Source organism: Homo sapiens, chromosome 5 (genome assembly GCF_000001405.40).
Source record: "Homo sapiens chromosome 5, GRCh38.p14 Primary Assembly".
NCBI classification, from domain to species: domain Eukaryota; kingdom Metazoa; phylum Chordata; class Mammalia; order Primates; family Hominidae; genus Homo; species Homo sapiens.
In genome coordinates, this window is record NC_000005.10 from 80,737,533 (window position 1) to 80,762,625 (window position 25,093).

A 25,093-nucleotide genomic window follows, 5' to 3' on the forward strand; every position below is an offset into this window, starting at 1 on the left:
TTGGTGAGTTTCATTTCAAAGCACATAGAATTTGTCTTCTTCTACAATGGTAAATAATTTAGAATTGCTTGAGTGTTTCAGGTCAGTGATCGGATACTATTGGATACCTTAGGATGCTGGTAGATATAACCCTTAGTTCAAAAATATATATAATTCTAATGGAAATAGGTGCTAACAGAAGGAAATTGCATTTCTATTGGGAAGGAAGACTCCAACTCCAGAATACGTATAAATTTATACTTATAAATACTTACGAAATATATGGGAACTCCAGAAGCATGGTTAGTCCTTGTAGTTGCTTGATAATTATTCTAGATGGGAATCAATCTGATTTAAGATTGCCCAGTGGTTGATCTTTTATTAAAATCAATGTAGATATCAGTTTAAAAAAACTCTTAGTGCATCTGATTTGAACTTTAGATTACTTGTTTAGTAAGGACAAAAAGAAAAAACAAAAACACACACAGCAAAAAGAAAAGACAAAAACACCCATAACCAACCAAATAAAAAACCACACACACAACACATTAATACTTACGTTAATACCATTGATTAAAATAACCTATACCTTTGCTCTCTAAAGGTCTGGGGTTGTGAGCTAACTTAAAAACCAGCTTGGTTGTTCACAGTTACTGGTTTCCTTTTGATATTGCAGATATTTGGTAATTATATGTAGATGAAGGCTGTAAGCCTTCTACCCCACCCCCTGTATACCAGGTAGTGGGTTAATTCAAACTGAATTCTGCCACTCATTTAGATACTTTTTAGCAAGCAGGCACAAAAACAGTCATGTAAACTCTTCTCTAGCTCTATGAAATTACAATTCTGTCTTTTTGGTATTCCGACAGTACCTTGTTTCAGTGGTTCACTTGAGGCATGTGCAACATTATAATAGGGACAGTTCACTTTTAGTTGGAGTCAGGGAACAAACCCTGAGATAATTGGTAGAACAGGGGATGCTTTCAGAATCCGAAGCCTAAAACACCATCCCTTAGGGTATGGACTGTTGGATTTATAGGATTATTATACCCTGTTCATATGAGGGAGGAGGCAACTGGGCAGTATTTCTGGACAGCCCACAAACTGCCATACCACCGTGAAAAATTATGTCTTACACATCTGTTGTTGACAGAAGATAAAGGCAGTGAGCTGAGATGCTTTTAGGAAAGGCTGCTAGATTGTGGTTTCTTGATTAGTCTCATGCCAACTGTTATGGCCTGGATGTTTGTGCCCTTCAAAATTCACATGTTGAAACCTAATGACTACTGTGGATATATTAAGAAGGGGCCTTTTACTAAGTGATTAGGTTATGAGGGCAGATCGTTTGTAAATGGGATTAATGCCCTTATATTAATAGAAAAGACTTAAAGGAACTGTTTGTCCCTCCTCCATGTGAAGACACACAGAAGGTGCCATCTATGGGGACTGAGCCCTCACTAGACACCAAATCTGCTGGCACCTTGATTTTGGACTTGACAGCCTCCAGAACTCTGAGCAATAAACTTCTGTTTACAAACTGCCCATTCTGAGGTATTCTGTTATAACCCAAATAAACAAAGATGCCAGCTAAGCACCGTTCTAGAGTCGACGTCTGATTAGGGCACTAACATGTTAACTAGTCACCCCTAGGATGGACTTAGTTAAACCTAATTGTCAGAACAGCGGAAGTAAGGACTCATATCTAAACACATAGGTAACTGGTTAGATACCAACTCAGAGCCCAGGCTATCAGCCAAACTTCCAACTTAGATCTTTGACCATGAATTCATGTGAACTCTTGTCAGCTACATAGCCAATCACTGCCTAATTGTTTCTTCCTGTAAATAATGTTTTACATTTTATAACTGTCTGGCTATTTCACAGACATTTCTGGAGCTTTGTGATTCAAAGGGAAAAATATAAACCCAACCTGGTTTTCCCTAGGAAGATGGCAGATATTTGTAGACCCTCTACTGTCTGCTAAGCTGTACAGGTGGTACAAAATGATTGCCTTCAGGGAGCTTAGATCTATTAAGGAGGGTAGAGGCACAACATAAATTGCTGTAATTCAAGACAAATTAAGTTAACTGCTACCAGAGGGAGAGAAAGGGCTGAACACTTGCTATCCTTTCAGTTTTGGAGTTGCTTCCCGCTGAAAATCATTAACAGATTATCGTTCTTTGGAAGCTAGATCAAACCTGTCACAGATACATTACACTACCAAAGGACAGCATTGAGTTACTAGGCAACGTTCCTAATTTGAGGTAAAGTATTTCTCTTTTCCAGGGCTTTGGGGCCTTAGTCAAAGGAGTCATCTAGAAGTGAAGGAATCTCTTTTTGGGTACTGGTTTTTCGGGCTCTGATATTAGGTTCTCTAAAGTTCTGGGTGAGGGCTTGTTTTCTTAACTCGGGAAACTGGATGTTACCTAAATTTCATTATAGCTATGAGAAGGGTGGTTAGGTTTATAGCACAAACACTTATGCCTTTCTTTTGTTAAATAATTTAGTGACCTGCTGTTATTTTCCTTGCCTTTAAAAATAAGCTCTCAAGCCTGTAAGGGCTGTTGACAGAAACATCTAAGGACTGGCTGATAAAGGATATTGAATTACTGCATTAGTACTGCATTGATTAGTACTTCTTAACACGAATTGGAATTGTACATACATTTATTAGTCATGCTGTAGCTCATTCTCAAATCTTTTTGAAATTTATTGAACTTCTAATTTTGTTTTGGATAGATACTGAGACAATAAGGAGAGTGTGAATGCTTTAACTCAGTTTAAGGAAATAACAGTGTTTTATACCCACTAAATTTGGCCATGGTAATGTGTGTTTTTTTTCTTTTCTCTTTTTTTTTTTTTTGGAGACGGAGTCACACTCTGTCACCCGGGCTGGAGTGCAGTGGCACAATCTTGGCTCACTGCAACCTCCGCCTCCCGGGTTCAAGCGATTCTCCTGCCTCAGCCTCCTGAGTTGCTGGGACTACAGGCGTGCGCCACTACACCCATCTAATTTTTGTATTTTTAGTAGAGACGGGGTTTCATCATGTTGGTTGGCCAGGATGGTCTCCATCTCTTGACCTCGTGATCCACCCACCTTGGCCTCCCAAAGTGGTGGGATTACAGGCGTGAGCCACTGTGCCTGGCCGCATGTGTGTTGTTAATTACAGAGTAAATAACACTTGTTGCATATGTTAGAATCTTTTTTTTTTTTTTTTGCCGAGGCGTAGTCTCACTCTGTTGCCCAGGTTGGAGTGCAGTGGCGTGATCTCAGCTCACTGCAATCTCCGCCTCCCTGGTTCAAGTGATTCTTGTGCTTCAGCCTCCCGAGTACCTGGGACTACAGGTTCGTGCCACCATGCCTGGCTAATTTTTATGTTTTTTAGTAGAGACGAGGTTTTGCCGTGTTGGCCAGGCTGGTTTCGAACTCCTCACCTCAGGTGATCCGCCTGCCTCAGCCTCCCAAAGTGCTGGGATTACAGGTGTGAGCCACTGCACCTGGCCTAGAATCTTGATTAAAAGTATTTATCAAGATGATCTCATGCTAAAGAATAAGGAGGACAGTTTTAAGTATCTTGACATATTTTTCTAGCTGATTACACAGCTTTTCATGAAGATGTGGCTACTGTGCTTGGCTAATGATAAAAGACCATGTTTGGTTCTATTCCTAGAGCAAAACCAAAACAAAATGTTGTTACCATTACTTCCCTTTCCTGTTCTTGTTTTTTTTTTGTTAGAGTAACTATCTTTGTCTTGCATCAATCTACTTAACAGCACCAGCGTTAATGGACTACAACAGCCTGATGAATTTTCATTTTGCTCCTTTTGTTTGATTTTCTATCAGAATGCTAATTTTTGCCATAATGTAGCTGGCATGTTTCTAGTTCCTGAATTAGTTTTTTATTTCTTTATGCACTTACATCTAGGCTAATTATATTTGATTCTTTTACAGGAATTTTAAACAGCTATCAAGTAAAATGGAATTTATGACAATTAATGGAACAACATTAAGGAATCTGGAAATCCTACAGAATCAGGTCAGGCAAATACAAGGGCTAGTTGATTATAAATCGTTTTGGGAAAAACTTCTGAGTAAGGCAGCAGTCTGTTTTTAGAGGTACAGGTGAAAATATAGTGTCTTTAGCTGACTGCAGTATTAATTGATAACTGTAGCTCTTTTTGGAGAATGAACTGTACATAATATTTCTCTGGGTTTTTTGGGGGGAATGATGGAGCTGCCCTTTTTAATGACTGAGGGGCATGCTTATCCTGACAATTTCTGTAACATCATTTCTATATCATGTAGTTTTTTGGAAAGGCATCATCACTGAAAATATGAAGCGGATTTTTTTTGTCTACTTGGTTATATTTTTCTATACACCTTTAGCTTTTTCTTGAAATGTTTGCAGTCTTATTTAATTATTCAGGTTATAGGTTTCTGGGATATTCAGTTTGACTGTAAGATGCATAACATTTCAGTTTGCAAACTTTCTTTTTTTTTTTTTCTTCTTTGAGACAGAGTCTCGCTCTGTTGCCCAGGCTGGGTTGAGTGAAGTGATGCGATATTGGCTCACTGCAACCTCTGCCTCCCAGGTTCAAGCAATTCTCCTGCCTCAGCCTCCTAAGTAGCTGGGATTACAGGCACCTGCCACCACGCCTGGCTAATTTTTGTATTTTTAGTAGAGACAGGGTTTCGCCATATTGGCCAGGCTGGTCTCGAACTGTTGACCTCAGGTGATCCACCTGCCTCGGCCTCCCAAAATCCTAGGATTACAGGCGTAAGCAAACGCACCTGGCCTCAGTTCACAAACTTTCATTGTTTATTTGTCCTTTGTTGATGAATTAGGAAGATAACGGGGAGATTAAACTTATTGCTTTCATTTATTAAATTATCACTTGGGAAGATGAGACATTATATTATAAAATTAATGTTATCCTAACAAAGTAATAGAGATAAAAAGCAACCCCACGTCATTTGATTAAGTACTGGAGAATCATCTGAACCATCTGAGTCAAAGGAGTTAAAACTCTTCAGAAATATTTATTACTATTGCAAATTAAAGTAAACACTGAATTTATTCTCCTGACTCCTGAATCTGCATATTATTAACTAGTTTCTCTCAGTTTCTTCCTGTTCCAGTCTGTTCTAGTATGCTGAATTCAGATGTATTTTTGTTCAGTAACATTTTTATCTTGTCATCATCCAAAAGCTGAGAATCTGTCCTGCCGGTCTGTCTCGTCAACTCTGTAGCCATCTCCATGATAGGAAATAAGTAGTAGGAATAAAGAGACATTTCTCGGCTGAAGGAGTGCTGATAGCCTGCAGCCAGCCCTGGCATTGTAAGCGTTCCCTGCTTCTGCCGCATCTTCCCTGTTCAAATCCTACTACAACAGAGTCAGTTCTGAAATCAAATTCCTAAGGCAGAAATCATCTGGAATCAAAATACCCTTCAAAATTCCTTCCTTTATTGGACCTTGCACCATTTTAGAAGCCGAAGCTGAGATTAACATCTTCTGCTTGTCTTTGTACTTCAACTTCACCCCCACCGCCCCTCGCCCACCTTTCCAAGGAGCAATGGAAAGAGGTGCAGGGTAGGAGTTGGGTGTCAGCAAGAACAAGGATATAATAGGACACGTATCTGTCCCTCCTCTCTTGTCTGAGCCTGCTTCTCCAGGGGTGTCAGGGAATTGGCCTCCTCACGGGACCCTTTACCCCAGTCAGGCCAGTCAAGCTGTGGTCTCAGGAGCAGTGCTGCTGCTGATCTGAACTGCCCTCCTTAGCCTGTCCAGCCATCCTCAGAGGAACCTTTGTGACCTTGTACCTTCTCTGTGCTCTCTCCATTGAACTCCTGAGGCCTGAGAGCTTATGTCACACCTTTTCTAGTTGATTCCTGGCAGGTGGCATTGTATCCTAATTACGAGTCTTTTTCCAACTTGGCTATAAGCACCCTGAGGGTGGGACCATGTCCTTGCTATGTTCAGCACATAGGAGGTACTCTGGAAGTAGCTACTTACAGAGGAGAAGGAAAAAAGAAAGGATTAAAAAAACCCGGCCGGGCGCGGTGGCTCACGCCTGTAATCCCAGCACTTTGGGAGGCCGAGGCGGGCGGATCACGAGGTCAGGAGATCGAGACCATCCTGGCTAACACGGTGAAACCCCGTCTCTACTAAAAATACAAAAAATTAGCCGGGCGTGGTGGCGGGCGCCTGTAGTCCCAGCTACTCGGGAGGCTGAGGCAGGAGAATGGCGTGAACCCGGGAGGCGGAGCTTGCAGTGAGCCGAGATCGCGCCACTGCACTCCAGCCTGGGCGACAGAGCGAGACTCCGTCTCAAAAAAAAAAAAAAAAAAAAAAAAACCCAACTCAAGTGGAAACAGCCATTTTAGGTCTCAAGATTTAAATGTCTCAGTGGGCTTTGTACTACTGTGAAACCTTGGTTAAAATTAATTATGTCTAGTTAATTGTGATTTTTTTTTAAGGACCCAAATTTTAAGTGGCAAAAGCAAACTTTTCTAAGGATTTAGTAAAACAAACTAAAATAAAATCCTTCCTGGGTAAATACCTAGAGTGCAGTGCAAGTTCATGTCTATCTCCAGCACCTTGTTCAGTGTTGTCATGAGAGCATTGGTTTATAAAATGGTAACTGTGAAATACCAAAGGAAAATTAAGTCATCTTCCTATGTTGTATTTCCCAAGGTAGGAAAGTATGCAATTATATTTTAAAGATGCTTAGATAAAGCATCTTTATCATTTCAAAAGAATTTCTGAATAATTTATTCTTTGGTAACCAAAAACTATAAACGATCCCTTTTCTGTGTAAAATGTCAGTACTTCATTCTGTATGTATGTATTCATCTGTCAAACATTAAATGAACACCTGTTATGAGCCACATTGTGCTAGGTATATATGACATTTAGAATCGGGGTATATGAAATAACAATTTGGCACAAATAATTGTCTAGTTAATAAAACTTGTTTTCTGGTCTTTCTTAGACTGATATGAAAACCAAAGGAAGTTTGCTGTGGGTTTTAGACCACACTAAAACTTCATTTGGGAGACGGAAGTTAAAGAAGTGGGTGACCCAGCCACTCCTTAAATTAAGGTAAAAGGAATTCTTTTTGGGGTGTTTAATCTGAAATTATAAAATTTTGAAATTAAAGGCATTTTAAAACCAAGGTTACCATTGTTTTTAAGAACACAGTTTTAAATTGGAGAACATTTTATTTTAGAACTGAGCAATAGACTGGCTCTCTAGTATTACAAGGATTTTTTTCCTCATTCTCGTGAATGAGCCTGCCTGCAGATTGGCAGACATAGGGCGTTGTCCCAGGAAAGTGAGGATAGATGCCTTTTGTGGAGGGTTTTGAAGGCTAGACTGAGGAGTTGATAGCCAGAGGGAGTTCATTCAGTGATTCTGAGCATGGGGCTGATATCATCAGAGCTGGGCTTGTGTGTAGGAGGGGACTAAGTGGTAGTAGTGGTGGGATCAAGTTAGCAAGTTCATGGAGAGGTGCCCAGGACCTGAGCTACAGCAGTAATAGCAAGGAGTCCAAAAGAGGGGTTAGGTGTGAAATGCTTAGAAGAGTAGAGTGAGTAAAGTTGGAGCTCCCTAAGGGAAGATACTTGAATCCAGTGCCTAACATACAGTGATTTCCAAGGTTGTCTGCACATCGGAATCACCTGGGATGCTTCACAAAATACTCATGCCTGTGTCCAGCCCCCATAGATTGTGATTTAATTGGTCTCCAGCATGACCAGGGAGTTGAGATTTAAATTTTACCCAGATGATTCTGATATGCAGATAAATTTGGAGATTCTGACCTAGAACAGTGCCTGGCACTTAGTAGAAGCCCAGTTAATGTTTATTGAATGAAAATTGTTATTTATTGCACACTTTCTATTTACTGGTGTTTAATACTCAAAATCACCTTCTGAGATAGGTTCTTGAAATGAGGAAACAGATTCAGAGAGCTTCACTAACTTGCTTAGTGTTTCATAGCTGGTAGAGATAAATATAAGATTTAAAACCAGCATTGACTCCAGAGACCTTAGCAGGAACAAGCCATTATCCTGAATAGTTATACCTCTGGCTAGACCAGAGTGAATATGGTGTGATGGTGAAGAGAACCGCTATGTGTTGGCTCTGTCAGCTGAGTGAGTCACTCCCACTAATCCTCAGTGTTCTCACCTTTGACATGGTGGAACACCTCATCACAGCATTGCTGTAAGGAATAAAATTTTGAGCTCTTTATCTCACACCACACAGTATGCTAGGAGCTTTATGAGCATTGTCTCTTTTAAACTGCACAGCAGCCTCACTAAGCAGATGCTGTTATTAGCCCTGTGTTACTCTGTGATTAATAAATAGTCACTATTTTCAATAATGGATTGCAGATGTTAATGTTGGTCATAGGCTTGAAGACACTGTTATGGGTTTTGCTGTTGTTTTCTTCTTTTTCTTTTGCAAGTTTTTTTTTTTACAATGCCAACTTTAAAAGGTCACTAAAGTTAACTGGACAATAATCTAGGCAGACATCACTTTACAAAAAAGAGGGAAAGCCCAAAATGCCACCTTCTATAGAAAACGCACAGTACAGTTTTATTCAGAGCAAAGAAAAAAGAAACTTGATCATACTATGAGAAACTCAGCCATAGGTTTGGAATCCGTATTCACACCACACATTCACTGAGGACAATATTCTGCTCATACGATTGATTTGCTACTGCATTTCACTGCTGTTTGTCTGATATTAACAATTTTAAACAGAGCAGGGCAGCTAGTATTTGGAACAATCCTTACAGTGTGACGGCGTCAAGGACGTTTCACTTCTGTTCACACCGCTGGTTCGCTTGGCATACCTGGGTTTCCTCTTCTTCAGTAAAGTCATTTTTGATATTGGAAGTCTTGCGAATCTTCTCAGGACTTTTCTCCTTGATTGTATTGGCAACAGTCTTGTGTGTAACATCAAGCAAACCTTTGATGTCTAAGTAGTTTGCAGGCAGAAGTAGTACAAAAAGTATTCCTTGATCGACTTTCAGGAATTGTTGGTCCTAAGGAGGGATCTCCTCTGTTCGTTTTCTTTGTTCGCATCATCCTCGGGAGGAGGACGGCCATTTTTGTGGTGGGTACACCACCAAATGACCTTTTAAAAATATTGCTGCATTAACTTTGGTAGAGGAGCTGGGTCGTTATCTCCATCATCCATTCTCATATCTTCCAACATGGTCTTGATAGTCACAGATTGTTTGGCAATTTCCACATCAAATATCTCCGCATCAAAACTCAGCATCTTAATTGACGGCATGGTGTTTGAGCTTAAGGAGACCACTGGCCAGAGGCTCATGAGAGCAGGGCGACATCAGCAAAGAAGAGGAAGGCAGAGGACAAGGACACTCAAGACATGGTTTGGATGATGATAATTACCAAATCTTTTCAGATTTAGTGGGTCACTCCGATTTCTTTTCTTAGCCATAAAGACCTTAAGACATGGGAAACTGATGAGGTAAAGAAGAAATCCTGAAAATGGAAATATCTTCTTTAGTTCAGCATTCTAATGAAATAAGCAGACCTTGTAGAGCAGACGCAGACAAGATGGCTTTCTGTGGACAACAGTGTAAGGGATGCAGCATTGTGGCTGCTGGAAAGGCTGCCTAAACATCTACTACAATTCTTACTGTGTTTTTGCTTACATGTTACAGCAGAAACAGACTCACTAGCAGACTTTTCCATGTAAATTAAAATTCTTCATTTCCAATGTTAAATTTCCTTTTTTTTTGTGTACCCAGGATTAATTTGAGATAAATCTAGTAGACCATGTTGTCTGTTGTTAGGCGCCGAATCATGTATCTCTGGGGATCCTACCTTCCCAGAAAGGCAGAGAGAAAATATGCCAGGCATTCAACACTGATGTTTTCAAGTATGAACTTTTCACTGACCTAACACTGATGTTAGCCAAAAACAAACACACGAACCTTTTCTTTGCCCTTTTATTTTAGGTCATGGTTTTTAAACTTTTATACTCCTAATCTATTAAAATCTATTTCAAAAGAATTCCAGTTTAATTTTAATGGCACTTGCAACGTATTCCAAACAAATACCTGGAGAGAATCTGCTGATTAGTCAGTGGCTCAGCTATATAATTAGTCATGTACCACATGACAACATTTTGGTCCTTGGGGATTGCATATACAGAGGTGTTTTCTATGTTTAGAAATGTTTAGACACACAAATACTTACCATTGTGTTACAGTAGCCTACAGTATTTAGTAGAGTAACATGCTGTCTGGGTTTTAGCGTAGGAGCAGTATACTGTACCATATAGCCTAGGTGTGCAGTGGGCTGTACTATCTAATTTTATGTAACTATATGCTCTGTAATGTCCACAGAATGACAAAATTGTCTAACGATGCATTTTCCAGAATGTATCCCCATCATTAAGTGAGGCATGATGGTGTTGTTGTTTATACTGACATAAGTGCCTTACTGATCACATCAGTGGCTCATCCAGACAAATATTCTGTCTCTGACATTGACTGCCAAAGGTTAGTTTAGGGTCTGGTTTTCTTCTACAGTGAGATCGTAGAACAAATAATGGATGACGAGGGGATTTAGCAAAATAATGCAGATCTCCCCAGGTTCTGCAAGATCCCATTGTTTGTCAGTCATCCATGAATTCTCCTAAATCCCTTAAGCTCCTCTTTGTATTTTTATCTTGTTCTAGCTCTTAAGGGCAAACACACAGTTCATAAGTCTAGGACCAGGCATTCAAGTTTCAGAAGACTTTCCACTCCCGTCACCTTTTATTCTATAAAATGGTCTCTTTGGTGCAAAATTTTAATAGTGACTTTTAGAAAGTAAAAATGATTTTTACTTTACTTATTGACTGATTCAAAGAGTTCACTTAGATTATTGAGGCTGGATTTTACTGTACTGATATCACATTAGCTTTTATAAATAGATTATTTTTTCTTATGTGTTCTCACCTGTAGTTTTTATCAGTTCTGCTAATTTTAGGCAAGAAGATTCTTCAGTGTAGTTGTTTTTTAAATAAATGCATGTCACATTGGCATGCCATTATTCTTAAGGCCTTTTAAAATTAGATTATATCGAATTAATTTTTTTTGAGGTTCTGTCTTTGGACTTCTTTCAGTTGATATAGTCTTGTCAATTTTTTATTTACACACACACACACACACACACACACACACACACACACACACCCATATGTATGTCATTGGTTTTGTCAAAAAGCCTGAAAATGCAAATTCTGCTTGTAAATATTGGTAGAGGAGAAAAAAAGAAAACCGTGAGATGAGTCTGTGTTCCAGACTCATTGGTGGGTTATGTGGGATGAGTCTCTAAAATGGTGAGTTAAGCAAAATAATTAATTTCCAAGGCAGATTTGTTTATCTTAGAGGTATTCCACTTTCAGTAGCATACTATATACTTTAAAAATTAAAAGAAATTTAGTTTCTTTCATGAGTACCTCTTTCTTCTACCTGTACTTTACATTTTTTAATTAAAAAAATTTGTAAAGTTTTATCTTTAATTGACAAATAATTGTATATATTTGTATTAGGGTTCTGTAGAGGGAGAGAACTAATAGGATAGATGTATATAAGGAGTATTGACTTACATGATCACAAGGTGAAGTCCCACTGTAGGCTGTCTGCACGCTGAGGGGCAAGGAAGCCAGTCTGAATCCCAAAACCTCAAAAGTAGGGAAGCCAACAGTGCAGCCTTCAGTTTGTCGCCAAAGGGCAGAGAGTCCCTGGCAAACCACTGGTGAAGGTCCAAGAGTCCAAAAGTTGAAGAACTGAGAGTCTGATGTTCAAGGGCAGGAAGCATCCAGCACAGGAGAAAGATGGAGGCCTCAAGACTCAGCCAGTCTAGTCCTTCCATGTTTCTCTGCCTGCTTTTATCATAGCCACACTGGCAGCTGATTAGATGGTGCCCACCAGATTGAGTGTGAGTCTGCCTCTCCTAGCCCACTGACTAAATGTTAATCTCCTTTGGCAATACCCTCACAGATACACCCAGGAACAATACTTTGCATCCTTCCACCCAATCAAGTTGACATTCAGTATTAACCATCACAATATTCATGGGGTACAATGTGATATTTCATTACATATATACATTATAGAATGATCAAATCAAGCTAATTAATATATCTATCACCTCAAACATTTATCATTTTTTTTTGTTGAGAACATTTAAAACCCTCTTTTAGCTATTTTGACACACATACAATGCATTAACTATAGTCACCGTACTATGCAATAGATCACCAGAACTTGTTCTTGTCTAACCAAAACTTTGCACCAGTTGACCAGCATCTCTCTTTTCCCCATCTACCCTCTCCCCTAGCCTCTGATGACCACCAATCTGATCTCTACTTCTATGAGTTTGACTTTATTTGATTTTACATATAAGTGAGATGATGTGGTATTTCTCTGTCTGTGCCTGGCTTATTTCACTTTGCATTATGTCCTCTAGGTTCATCCATATTGTCAAATGATAGAATTTACTGCTTTTTTTTTTAAGGCTGAATAGTATTCCAGAGTGTGTGTGTGTGTGTGTGTGTGTGTGTGTGTGTCACATTTAAAAAATCTATTCATCTATTGGTGGACACTTTGGTTGTTTCCATATCTTGATAATTGTGAATAATGTGGCAGTGAACATAGGGAGTACAGATATTTCTTCAACATACTGATTTCAATTCCTTTGGATATATACCCAGAAATGGAATTGCTGGATCATATGGTAATTCTATTTTTAGTTTTTTGAGGAACTAGCATACTGTTTTACAAAGTGACTGTACTGATTTATAATACCACCAACAGTGGACAAGGGTTCCCTTTTCTCCACATCTTTACTTGTTATCTTTCATCTTTTTTAATAAAAACTAATCTGAAAGGAGTGAGGTGACCTATTGTGGTTTTAATTTGCGTTTCTCTGATTAGAGATGTTGAGCATTGTTTCATTTATCTATTGGCCATTTGTATATCTTTTGGGAATCGTCTATTCAGACCTTTTGCCCATTTTTAAATAGGGTTATTTGTTTTCTTGTTATTGAGTAGTTTGAGTTCCCTGTATATTTGGTATATTAGCCCCTTATCCAGTGTTTGATTTGCAGATATTTTCTCCTAGTCCCTGGGTTGTCTGTTTACTCTGTTCATTGTTTCCTTTGCTGTGCAGATTTTTAGTTTGATGCAATCCCATTCGTCTGTTCTTGCTTTTGTTGTCTATAGTTTGGTTCCTGAGCATCCCAAGGCTTTTTCTCAAGTCTTTGCACTTGTTAGTCTTTGTACTTCGTGGTCTCTCTACGTAGAATATTCTTCTGTTTCTCTTTAATCTTTACAGGGTTAACTGCTTGTACTTGAGGTCTCAACTTAAAACGTTGTGTTAATATCTTCGGAGAGGTTTTATTTGACCTCCTAATCTAAATTATGTTCCTTGTATCACTCATTGATAGCATATAGGGTTTAATCATGATTGTTACCTATGTTTATTTAATATGCATGGGGCTCTTACATTATCTGTACAAGGGGTCTTCAGAAAGTTCATGTAAAATGCATATTATGAAAAAACTTTGCATAGATTTCAAAAAATTTTGGCACCAAAATAAACTCATACTAACTTGTTAGAGCATGTCTCAATAGGATGTAGTTTGAGGCATTAACAGGGATAAGATATCAGTTTGAAAAGAGCTTCTATCAGAACAACATGAATTCTGCTAAAAATTAAAGCGAGAACAAACACCATATTTATGGTGAAGCTTGGGTGGAAGAGTGGTGACATCATTAATGCTTTATGAAAAGTTTCATGAGACCTCGGAATAAACACCACACATCTACAACTATCTGATTTTCGACAAACCCGATACAAACAAGCAATGGGGAAAGGATTCTCTATGTGATAAATTTTGCTGGGAAAACTAGCTAGCTGGAGACTAAAAGTCCAAGATCAAGGAATCCTTCTGAGGCCTATCAGGGAGAATCTGTTCTGGTCCTCTCTCCTACCTGCTGGTGGTGTGCTGGCACCCTTTGGCGTTCCTTGGCTTGTAGATGTAGCTCCTTGATCTCTGCCTTCATGGTTACATGGTATGCTTGCTGTATGTATGTCCCTTCACACAGTGTTTTTTAATAAGGACATGGTCATATTGGATTAGGGGTCTACCCTTACTGCAGAATGACCTCATCTTAATAATTCCATCTACAATAACCTTATTTCCAAATAAGATAACATTTTGAGGTAGAGGGATAAGGACTTCAGCATATCTTTTTAGGGGTACACAATTCAACCCAAAACAAATAGGCCCATTATTTCCAGATTTTCTTCCTTTTGGCACACATAGACTGATTATACCCATCTCTTTACTAGAAACAAGTGTTTTGATTATTATTTAAATGTTTTGCTCATCTATTCAACGTCTGATGTGAGGTTGTAAATAACCATTGAATTTTGTAAAATTGCCAATCTTGTGCAATTTTGTGTTTGTAGTACAGTTCTCTGAAAAGTTATTCTCTTATCTTTGACAAATATCCTGGACAGTATCTGTCCAGGTGAAGGTATGTATGCAAAGTGTTACATTAATTTTAGAGATGAAAAAGAAACATTTATATATATATTTAAAAATAAAGGAAAATGCCTAGGAAGAAAGAAGCAGAGGTCTGAATCTGAGATTCGAAGAAAGAAAAGTAGCCAAGGTGGAATGGGAGAAGAGCTGAGGTCTAAGAGGTAAGGTGTGTTACTCTGGGAACATGTCTTTGTATAGGACAAGCAGAGGACTTAAAGCTCTGAGGGATCAAGGGAGTAGAAAGAAAATGTCAGTCTAGTGAACTAATCTCTAACTGTGCTTTATTTTTTATCTGTATTTTTTTCAGCTATCTTTAGAGATAGTTATTCTGTTTTAGAGATAAGAATAACTAAGTCTCAGTTTTTCCAAGGTCATCCAGCCAAGCACATAGGGGACCTTTTGAAAGCATAGTTTTGGAGTTAATGATACTTCAGCTTGAGTTCTGATTCCCTTTTGTCACTTTGGAGAAGTTATGAATTTGTATATACCTCAGTTTCTTCACCTGTAAAATGGGAATTAACTACCTACCTCATTGTGGTGTTGTGAGGACCAAATGAGACAGTATATGTAAAAGGATTAGTGTGGTTCCTCATAGCAATTTTTTGGTCAAGAAGGTAGCCATGGTCTTTAGAATACCAAAAAATTGGAAGCAGTGTAATTATTAGTAGGGAAAGGGAAAATAAATTGTCTGGTTATATATTGGAATATTATACAGCAGTTAAAATGAATGACTTAAGTCTATGTGTATCAACATGGATAAATCTCAGAAAAGCAATGTTATAAAAGAACACATAAATGATATCACTAATTTAAATTTTGTCACACACAATATCCTGTTTAGGGGTTCAAACAGAAGTGGTGTTTTCTTGTCACATAGGCAGTCAAGACAATAATAACTTCTGGGAAATGAGAAAAGGGTTAGAGATACAGGTAGGCTGGTGTTTTACATGTATTTGCAATATTTAATTTTTAAAAAATTATACAGAAAATACACACACATGAATTTTTTATAATGTACTGCTATTTGACCTTCACTACCATCATAATCAGGTGAAAATGAGACCCATGCACATCTGTCTAGAAAGCCCATGTTGAACTTGAGAGCATCTGTTTTCCAGCACATCTTGCATTAGAAAGACAGAAGACAGCCATCAGATGACCAAGGCTTCCAGGGATGGCAGGGGGAAGGCTGGGTGCTTGCACTGTCAGTTTCTAGGATCTGCCCAGGTCATTTCTTTTCCTGAATCTGGTACTTGCCTGTGTTTTCTTTTGCCTGTAGCTACCGTCAGGAATGTAGGGAGACTTTAGGAGGATTACTGGTGAGTAGGTAGAGTCTTTTATGGGGGCCTACTCTCAAAATAATATAACCATGAACAATTGAGGAATGTTTTTTTGTGGTCCCTTTTATTTATGCTCTAAACTTGACTAGTTCTGGGAATTGAGGAATCTCAACCTCACGTTCTGATTGACTAAGTAAATGCTAATGTGTTCGTTAACACAAAAGGCAATGCATTGGTTAGGGAAGCTAGCTGTTAACACAAAGACCCCAAAAAGTCTAATGGCTCTAATGTTGTGAAAGTTAATTTCTTCTTTTTTTTTCTTTGCATAAACAATCCATGGCCTTTCCACATTGGGGGGTGGGGTGAGACTCTCATCACATAGGCAGTTAGGAACCCCAGAGGCTCTTCAGTTTTAAACGTGTAGCTTCCAACGTCATCTTGAGAACTGATATTCAGCAGTGGAAGGAGAAAGAACAGGGAGGATATACATTTATGGCTTTTATGTGAGGCAGGCCTTGCATTGGCACATACCCTTCTGCCTAAATCTGATTATAAGCAGAATGCATTCCGATGGTCACAGCTTACTGCGGGGGCTAGCAAATGTCTGCTTGTTTTTCAAGGAATAGGAAGAAATGTTTAGTGAATACCTAGCAGTCTGTTGCCAGAGATGGTTTTTGTTGTTTCAATTCCATTGTACATTCTTCTTAGCATTTAAAAAATTATTTGAACTTTTGAACAGGCAATATCTTCACATACTTTAAAAGTTTGAAAATCTGAAAAGTTACACAGTAAAATGTTTGCTTATCATTCCTGCCCCACATCTACTCAGATCCCACTAGGTAATCATGGTTATTACTTTATCATGTATACTTCCAGAAACCTTTTGTTTAAAAAAGCAAATATGAATTTTATATATATATATATGAAATCTCTTCCTCCCTTATTACATAGATGGAGCCATAATATACCCAGTACTTTGTACTTGGCTGTTTTCCCTTAGTAGTATAAGATAGTTATTTTAAATTTTGTATTATTCAGTCTCAGTGACAAGGTGGCGTTCCCAGCGTCAGGGAATTTCTAATCTAATCTGGTCAAGGTATAATCTACTAGTAAGGAGGAAGAGATACAAGTAGTGGAAGCTTTTGTACTAAAATCAAATACTTACCTGTTACTCACTCTATAACTCAATACCACATTTAGAGCAAATGAGTAATACCTTTATAAGTCAAATTAGATTTTTAGAAAACTGCTTTAGGAAATTAGGCATGCTAAGATAATTCTTGGCATTTAAATCACATAATTAAGGGAATAGAAAATGGTTTGTGTTAGGAAATAGATCTTTGACTACATTTTTGCATGACTTTCTGATGTACTAAGTACATTTTAGTGGTCAATGTTCTCTACATTAAATGGCTTTTGTTTTGGTAAACCCATATGTTTGGAGTATTAATGGTTGTATTTCTAATTTGTTACCCTGGCCCAAATGATGAAGTAATAGAATGTTGCATATTTCCTTCCACTTAACATTTAATTTGTGTTAATGAAACCAAATGTCACTTTTAACTCTGGAACTTCTAAAATGAACTACACCGGGAAGCCCTCTGTATTCTTTGTGGTTTCCCATGTTCCATGAGCCAGCAACCGGGTGTTCACTTGCAGTGACTCTGGTTTACTCAGCCCCTGGGGATGCATTACTGCTCGGAAATGGGAAGGGAGAGTAGCAGGTGGTGCGTAATTGAGAGCTGTGTTTGATTGGGACTGACCTGGTGCCCCTTTCCTCTGCCGGTTTGAATGAGAGTTTAAAGGAGGAACTGCTGCTGCTAAGAACAAAATGAACCCGAGTGCCTCTTACTGTTTGTCCCGACTGTCAGTGCATAGGGATTAACTAACATCCAGGAACTTTTAGCTGGCCTCTGCTTTGTTCTTCAACATTCGGACCTTCAGTGAGCTCTAGACCTGCACAAACGACCTGCAGCAAATGGCAGCTTTCATTTGGGCTGAGGAAGAGGAATATTGGAGAGAATGAGGAGAAGGAAATAAATATCTTTCCTTTTTGGCCCTTCCTGCTTTATCTTTCTCCATCTTTATGCCTTTATTAATGAGGATTTTCCAAATATCGGTCTTCAAAAATGCCATAAGAAGACTTCATTTTCTGTGGTTTTAATGTCATAAAATATCTCCTTATGTGAAATAACTAGATATGCTGGATCAAGCATAACAAACATCCCTTTAGGACATTGCTGAATCTGTATTTAAAACATAAGGGAAGAACTGAGGGAACAGATGGAAAAAGGAACTGGAAATGGAAGTGAATTGACTGCTGCAGCTGCCCTCTGGGCTCCTGCAGATCTTGGTAATCAAAAGGATTGGGGTTCAACTGCCTTGTGGGAGACAGGAGACAGGGTCTTGGGTCCATTTAAGTTAGAGATACCATAGTAACGTGAGACACTCAAAGGACTGTGGTCTCAGTAGAGAGGTGACAAATACGTCTTGACCTGTTCTTGCCTGAGGAAAACGTTTCTAAGAATTCTTAACCACAGGCCCTCCCTCATAGATTTTCAGTTTCAATTTATACTCTGTGTGGTCTGGCAATTTCCAAGCTGTGAAACTTATTTAAAACAGTCTGATGGTACTCACATAAATCACCAAGTTAAAAAAATACAAAATAGAATAAAAAATATGAGCATGGAAAATAAATACTATCAAAAGGGCTCAGATTGATTTAAAAAGGAAACACAGACAATTCTTTAAGACTGAATGGACTAAAGAACTCATTCATGTAACCAAAAACCATTTCTGCCACAAAAACTATTGAAATTAAAAAAAGAATGACTTAAATAAGAATGGATCTTATACTCCAAAAAGAAAGAAAGAAAAGAAAACAACAACAACAAAGCAGGATATGGGTTAAACAAGAATAGAGGAAATAACTGAAATGCAAGATAATACCTGAAGAAATTACCTAGAATGCAGCACAGGGTGGCAATGTCAGGCCTTCAGTGTTTCTTCTCTGGATTTTTGAAACAGCTTTCTAACTGGTATTCCTGACACTGTTCTTATGTGCATCCAGACTATTAGCCTTGGATCCCAGCTCCTGTGATCACATTTTCAAACCTTCACCCTCCATTTTCCACTAATCTTTTATAGACAATAGCTAATCTTTTACTCAATAGCTACCCCCAGGAAATCCTCCCTGATCCTAAAACTGCATTTGTTCGTTAGGTGCTCCTGGCCTGTGTTCCCATTGTACCTAGATCATAACCCAGTTATAATCTTATTACATTGTTATCATTAATGCTTTTTAAAAAGTTTTACTATTCATCACTAGAGTGTAAATTGTTTGTAGACTAGCAAAGCTCTGTTAACAATTATAGCCCTAATGTCTACCACTTTGTACAATTAGTACTTTGTAAGCACTCAGTAATTGTTCATTGAATGTAAGAATGAATGGTGTATGTGAAAGGTGAAGCTATATAGGTCTAATGATGCTTAGATCCTAGGAAAGGGCCTATGGTTCATGTTTCTGACAGGAGATTATTTAGGTAGTTCATTTAGCCATTTCACATGACCAATGTGTTAATGTCTGAATTTAATCTACTCGTTCTGTGCTGTCTTAAAAGTCAAACTTTTCAGTAAAACGAAACCAAACAAAAAATACACCCCTAGCAGTTTGTATTTCAGCTCCCCACCCCCACCAGACAACTTTTTTTAAACATTTTATGTTGGTAGGTACATAGTAGGTCTATATATTAAGGGTATATGAGATATTTGTTGCAGGCATACAATGTATAATAATCATATCAGGGTAAATGGGGTATCCATCACCCCAAGCATTTATCATTTCTTTGTGTTACAGATATTCCCATTATACTCTTCTAGTTATTTTTAAATGTACAATAAATTGTTGGCTGTAGTCACCCTGTTGCACTCTCAAATACTAGATCTTATTCAATATATCTAACTATACAAAATTATCTTAAGTTTGAATTATAGAGGCATTTTCACAGTAGCAACCAGTAGGTACTGACTCCATCACTGACAATAGCTATAGGTCACACTCTGTGTTTCTGAGTGACAGCCACACATGGTAGATACTCATGTCACCACCTAGTTTATCTTCAAATGTGAAGGACTCCAGTGACACTCACATTTAGTCCTTTCATCTTTGGTAGTAAAGATGAATCTTTGTCATCCCCAGGACCTCTTCTTTTTGTTTGTTTGGTATATGGAATGAAATGACTCAGGTGCCTTCTTTCAGTTAATTTAAGTTGTATAGTAAGATCAACCGTAGAATACTATCAGTCATCTTGGAATAATATCTTTATCATCATCCAATTGATGATGCTTCTTCCAGTTTTGTTTCCTGTTGCTATCACTCCATCTGTCATTAATTGCACTAAGATAATAATTCTCTATTGTGTGGCCTGACATACTGTTTTATTACAATTATTTGGAAGGTCTTGTTACTACTGCACATTAAAAAACAATTCTAAGGTATGTGAATTGTTTAATATTTAAAAATGTAGTCATTCTTGCTTATTTCCATTCTGATCTTCGTACAGGAGTTGAAGATGGAATTATACCTAACCGCAGTGATGAGAAATTTGTGGTGAACAGTGTCACATACCCTTTCACTCTCTCCCTGCCCATTTAGACCTCCATAATTATTAATAGTTACATTGTGCTTTCTCAATGCAACCTACTGTCCAGTCTCAGCACAGCGAGTACTTCAGATCATTACTACTTGTCAGGTTTAGCACTCAAGATCCCAGGACTAGCTTTTCTTGTATAATTCCCACTTGTTGTTCACTTTGCACAAAATACCTGTTTACATATCTATGCCCTAAGGTTTGTCCATACATAGTTATTTCTGAGCTCATATTTTGGATGCTATTTATCCCTCTTCCATGCTGTTCTTTGTAGTGTCTACTACACAAAATTTGTAACGATGTGGTAACAGTAAACATTTATGAGTGGTTGTCATGATGTAGCAGGTACTGTGTTAAGTACCTGACATTTATTATTTCATTGAATTCTTGTACTAACACCAAGAGTTAGGGCTCATTGCTCTTCTCATTTTATAGGTGGAGAAACTAGGACAAGGCTAAATAATTGGTAAATGGCAGAGCCTGGGTTTGAATCAAGGCCACCTGACTTCTGAGCCCAAGTTGGTAACCTCTGAGGTAGTCCTTAAAGAAGGTTGGGTTAAAACCAAACTGATTGATAGTGAACATACTGCTTTTGCCTGTGTTGGCACTAGACTAAAATAAAAACCTTTTCCTTTATGTTTTCCCAGATTCCAAACCAACTTGGCCTAACCTTTCAAGTCTCTAAGAAATTTATAGTTTTATATCTATTAAAAAAATCTTCTGGTAGACTTCATAAATATGACTTAGATTTTTATTAAACTTTTTTGCTCGTATCTTTCTGTATCTCAGAAAACCTTTAATTTTTGAGACAGTAGCTATTTGTGTAGGCTGTCTTATATGTTCACAGATGGCATTATTTTATCAGTCCTCAAACCATCTGTAGCATCAACTTAGTCTATTCCAATTGGTGTCATCTTTCATTTATGCAGGAGTGAGTTATTAAAGTAAAACTTTATATTTGTATAACATTTTGGGTAAATGTTAGAGTAAAACATTGGTTTATTTTATCACAACAATCCTTTGCAAAGAAAATTTATTTTTTCCAGCTCATCTTGATTTACTTTATATGTAGTCTTCAGAATGAAATTGAATCGAATAACTGTTTATTGAGCACAAATTGTTATCCTGAAATGTAGGGATAAGAAATGACCCCTGTGTTCACTGAATTTATAGTCTTGTAGGAAAGACAGTGAAGTAGTAAATTCCCATTGAAGAAGAAATACAATTATGATTACCATTATGAGAAGGGAAAAGACGGTAGTATGGGAAATGATAGTAAAGGGATTAAGTCTGGTCTAGTGAATCTAGAAAGGCCTTTCAGAGGAAGAGAGGGTAGGAGTTCGCCAGACGAAGTGTAGCTGATGGGTGGTAGGGAAGAGGAAAATAACCTTCTAGGCAAAGTAAGCAGCAAATGAGAAAGCCTCCATGTCAGAGAGCTTGGAGTAACTAAGTCATTGAAAGATATGCAGTCTGACTGGAACTTAGAGTAGGAGGAAGAGAGTGACACATGATCTCAGGGGAGACCCAAGAGCTAAACAGGCATCAGTTGTTTTTTAGGACAATTAAAGATTCTGGATTTGAACCTAAGATTAATAGCAAGTCACAGATGAGTTTAAAGCAGAGGTGTGACATGAACAGATTTGGGCTTTAGGAAAACCACTCAGGCTGCAGTGTGGAGAATGAGTTGGAAAAAGGAATGGAAGTGGGGAGGAAAGTTAGGAGGCTGTTTCAATATAATTTGGACTTAGACTATAGTAGTGGCTGTAGAGGTGGAGAGTGGTGGATGGATTACAGAGTCCACCCTGCTGAGAATGGAAGAGCCAGCCCGTGTGTGTACAAAGCTCTGTCTTGCTCTCCTGCATCGTACTAACAAATGGTCCTTCTGCATGCAAGAGTATGAGCCAGAGAAAAATGGAACAAAAATGAGGCCTGAAGTTAGTATAGAAGCTCTGTATTATGAAAAGGCATGATCTCACAGGTAGTTAAGGATAATAAAGACAAAAGCACTCACTAAATCGAAAGTCCTCAGTCTGATTGTAATCTAGCCAGGATCCTGATCTAAGATTTGCTTTTCATATCAGTGTGTATGATGTCAACAGAATTTTGAGAGACACCAAGTTTATTCAGTGGCTGATGCCTCCTTTCCCCCAAAACATCAGTTCATTCTTTCATCCACTTGTTTATTTATTCATTCATTCATTTACAAACACTTTAAATCCTTACTGAGGACTTACTACTCACCAGACATGTTTACTTATCTTAGTTTTTAATACTACAGATGGTCATTATACCTAGTGTGGGCCTTTGATGTTTATAGGTACTTCATGGACCACATCTCATTGATGATACATTTAGTCCATCAGATTTCCGTTTTAAGTTGAGTCATCACTTAAGGTGTAGCCGTTGGTAAAATCCCGCAGCACTGATCTCCTATGTATCTGAATGTCATATCCTCTGCACTTTCTATTGCTACTCCCCAATCTTTGGTCAGGGTCAATATGTTTAATTTAATTCATTCAAACAGTTGGTCAGTTCAGCCATCACCACCACCACTAGGTCGTCTTGTTGGTCATTGTTTAACTATTATATTAGCCAAGGTAATGCAAGCTATCAGCAAACAAATTCTCCGTCTAAGTGGCTTAAATACATTAGAAGTTTATTTCTTGCTAATATAAGTTCAATTGGTAACAGATCCGGGAATGGTGGATTTTCTGCTCCACTGTGGGCTCAGGCTGATGGAGTTACCATGAGGCTCACAAGCTTGCCTAGCTGGCAAAGGGGATTAGGAGAATGTGAAAGCTTATTCAGGAAGTTTTTATGGGCCAGGGCTAGAGGTGGCTTACATCATTCCCACCCATGCTTCAGAACTGAGGTACATGGCCATACCTAACTACAGGGGAGACTGGGAAATGTAGTCTTTGTGTTTGCTTGGTGAGCCTGTCTTTGTCAAACCCAGCTAGTGAATTTCCTTGTATGATACCTGCTCTTTGATTCAGATAATAATAAGAGGCATGGAAGGACCAGATATATTGTTGTAGGACTTTTTCCTTAGTTCAGTTAAAGACAGCGAGGTTGGGGGAGGGTGGTCCTCATCACACAGCCATGTAAAATTAGGCCCGCAGACAATTCGAAGGAGGAGAAAAATGGAATTTATTGGGCAAAGAGCAATAAAAAGGGAAACAAAGACTCTCCAACAAGACAGAACGAGAATCTTGCTAGTATGCTTCCCGCCTCACAGACTGTAATCCCAGGTTCCACCCAGGAGGAGGAGGGGCCAGGCTCCTCCCTGCTGCCAAAGGCGTGAACTTCTGTGTCTCCACCCCAGTGCACCCTCCTCTCAATGCATACGCCCATTGGAGTTTTGTCAGGGAGTCCTTCCCACATGACTATCTCAGTATGAAGGAGGAGTTTCCTTTGTGCCTAATAAGTGGCTGTGTCACATTCCTGGGCATTAGAGTGGGAAATGTCTATATTCTGAATTCCTAACATATCTGATTATTGCTATTACTCTTTTCTCACAGGGAAATAAATGCCCGGCTTGATGCTGTATCGGAAGTTCTCCATTCAGAATCTAGTGTGTTTGGTCAGATAGAAAATCATCTACGTAAATTGCCCGACATAGAGAGGGGACTCTGTAGCATTTATCACAAAAAAGTAAGTGTGATAGAAATCTATTAAAGCTGACAGTGTTCTTCAGCTTGAGGACACTATATATTAAAAGAAAACTTTTGAGAGCTCTATTATTATTTTATTTTGTAAAATCTTACAAATAGCATGCGAGAGTAGCTGAATCCTCAGAAATTTTAATAGTACAAATTAGAGTTATTCCAATTTTTCCATTGTAGAAAATAAAGTTTTCTCATGTGCCTTAACTACAGCAACATAGAGGCCCTTCTGTTATAATATAGGGTATTCTCCTGTTTCATCCTGAAAGTACAGACTATTATCAAAATAGGAAATTTATGTAGACTTGTTATTTTAGAAAAAAAAAACCTTATTTCTTTTGATCTTAGAACAACTTATTGTTTCTTAAACTATGGAAAAATCTGCTAGTATAACATCTGTGGTGGTAGTTAGTATGCAAACAAGCTTGGATATTGAAGGTGAGTAAAGGATTATTTTGATTTTTATCACTTAAGCTTTACAGTTTGAGTCATAGCAAAAATGAGTCATTTTCCACGGTTAGGGAAATAATTTAGGTTATCTTCAAAATATGCCTAAAATTAAAAAAATTATTAATATTTTTAAATGATAAAACACTATAAACTATGGTGTTTTACTTTTTGCAGAAGTCATTCACATACCTTATACTCTTTGTTCCTTATCAAAACTTTATGACATTGAGAAGTTACTATTTTTATTACCTTCTTACTAATAAGAAATTATATCTAATGCTATATATGTGTGTGTATATATATATGTATATATATAAAATGCTGCAACCACTTGAATTACCTTGGCTAATATGATGATGCTCAGAGGTTTAGTAACTTGCTAGTAACAGAATCTGTATTTAGACCCAGGATTCTTGACTGTGTTTTCATTGGCTGTGTCTTTTGGATGCTATCATGTTTGATGTAGTTATCTTGACTGCCATTTTT

The 25,093-nt window shown here is 38.1% G+C and overlaps 1 protein-coding gene and 1 pseudogene across 1 annotated transcript in view, besides 2 other annotated features; one reads left to right on the plus strand and one right to left on the minus strand.

Annotated features, from left to right (window-relative positions):
• MSH3 (mutS homolog 3) overlaps window positions 1-25,093 on the plus strand; it is a 222,164-nt gene that overhangs the window by 82,881 nt on the left and 114,190 nt on the right. Inside the window, exons 11-13 of the mRNA NM_002439.5 lie at window positions 3,932-4,016; window positions 6,974-7,083; window positions 24,014-24,146. Of these exons, the coding sequence (NP_002430.3) occupies window positions 3,932-4,016; window positions 6,974-7,083; window positions 24,014-24,146 (328 nt within the window). The remainder of the gene's footprint in view (window positions 1-3,931; window positions 4,017-6,973; window positions 7,084-24,013; window positions 24,147-25,093) is intronic.
• Window positions 7,405-7,593: a silencer, noted in NCBI's record as "fragment chr5:80040756-80040944 (GRCh37/hg19 assembly coordinates)". NCBI's record gives its function as "represses an EF-1alpha promoter that drives an FKBP-Casp9 reporter gene in an ReSE screen in K562 erythroleukemia cells {active_cell/tissue: K562}" and the evidence as "EXISTENCE:reporter gene assay evidence [ECO:0000049][PMID:32094911]".
• LOC124901016 (S-phase kinase-associated protein 1-like) lies at window positions 8,805-9,311 on the minus strand (annotated as a pseudogene).
• Window positions 10,319-10,879: an enhancer, noted in NCBI's record as "OCT4-NANOG hESC enhancer chr5:80043670-80044230 (GRCh37/hg19 assembly coordinates)". NCBI's record gives its function as "activates a minimal SCP1, AML or CMV promoter by ChIP-STARR-seq in naive H9 embryonic stem cells {active_cell/tissue: H9 hESC(naive)}" and the evidence as "EXISTENCE:reporter gene assay evidence [ECO:0000049][PMID:30033119]".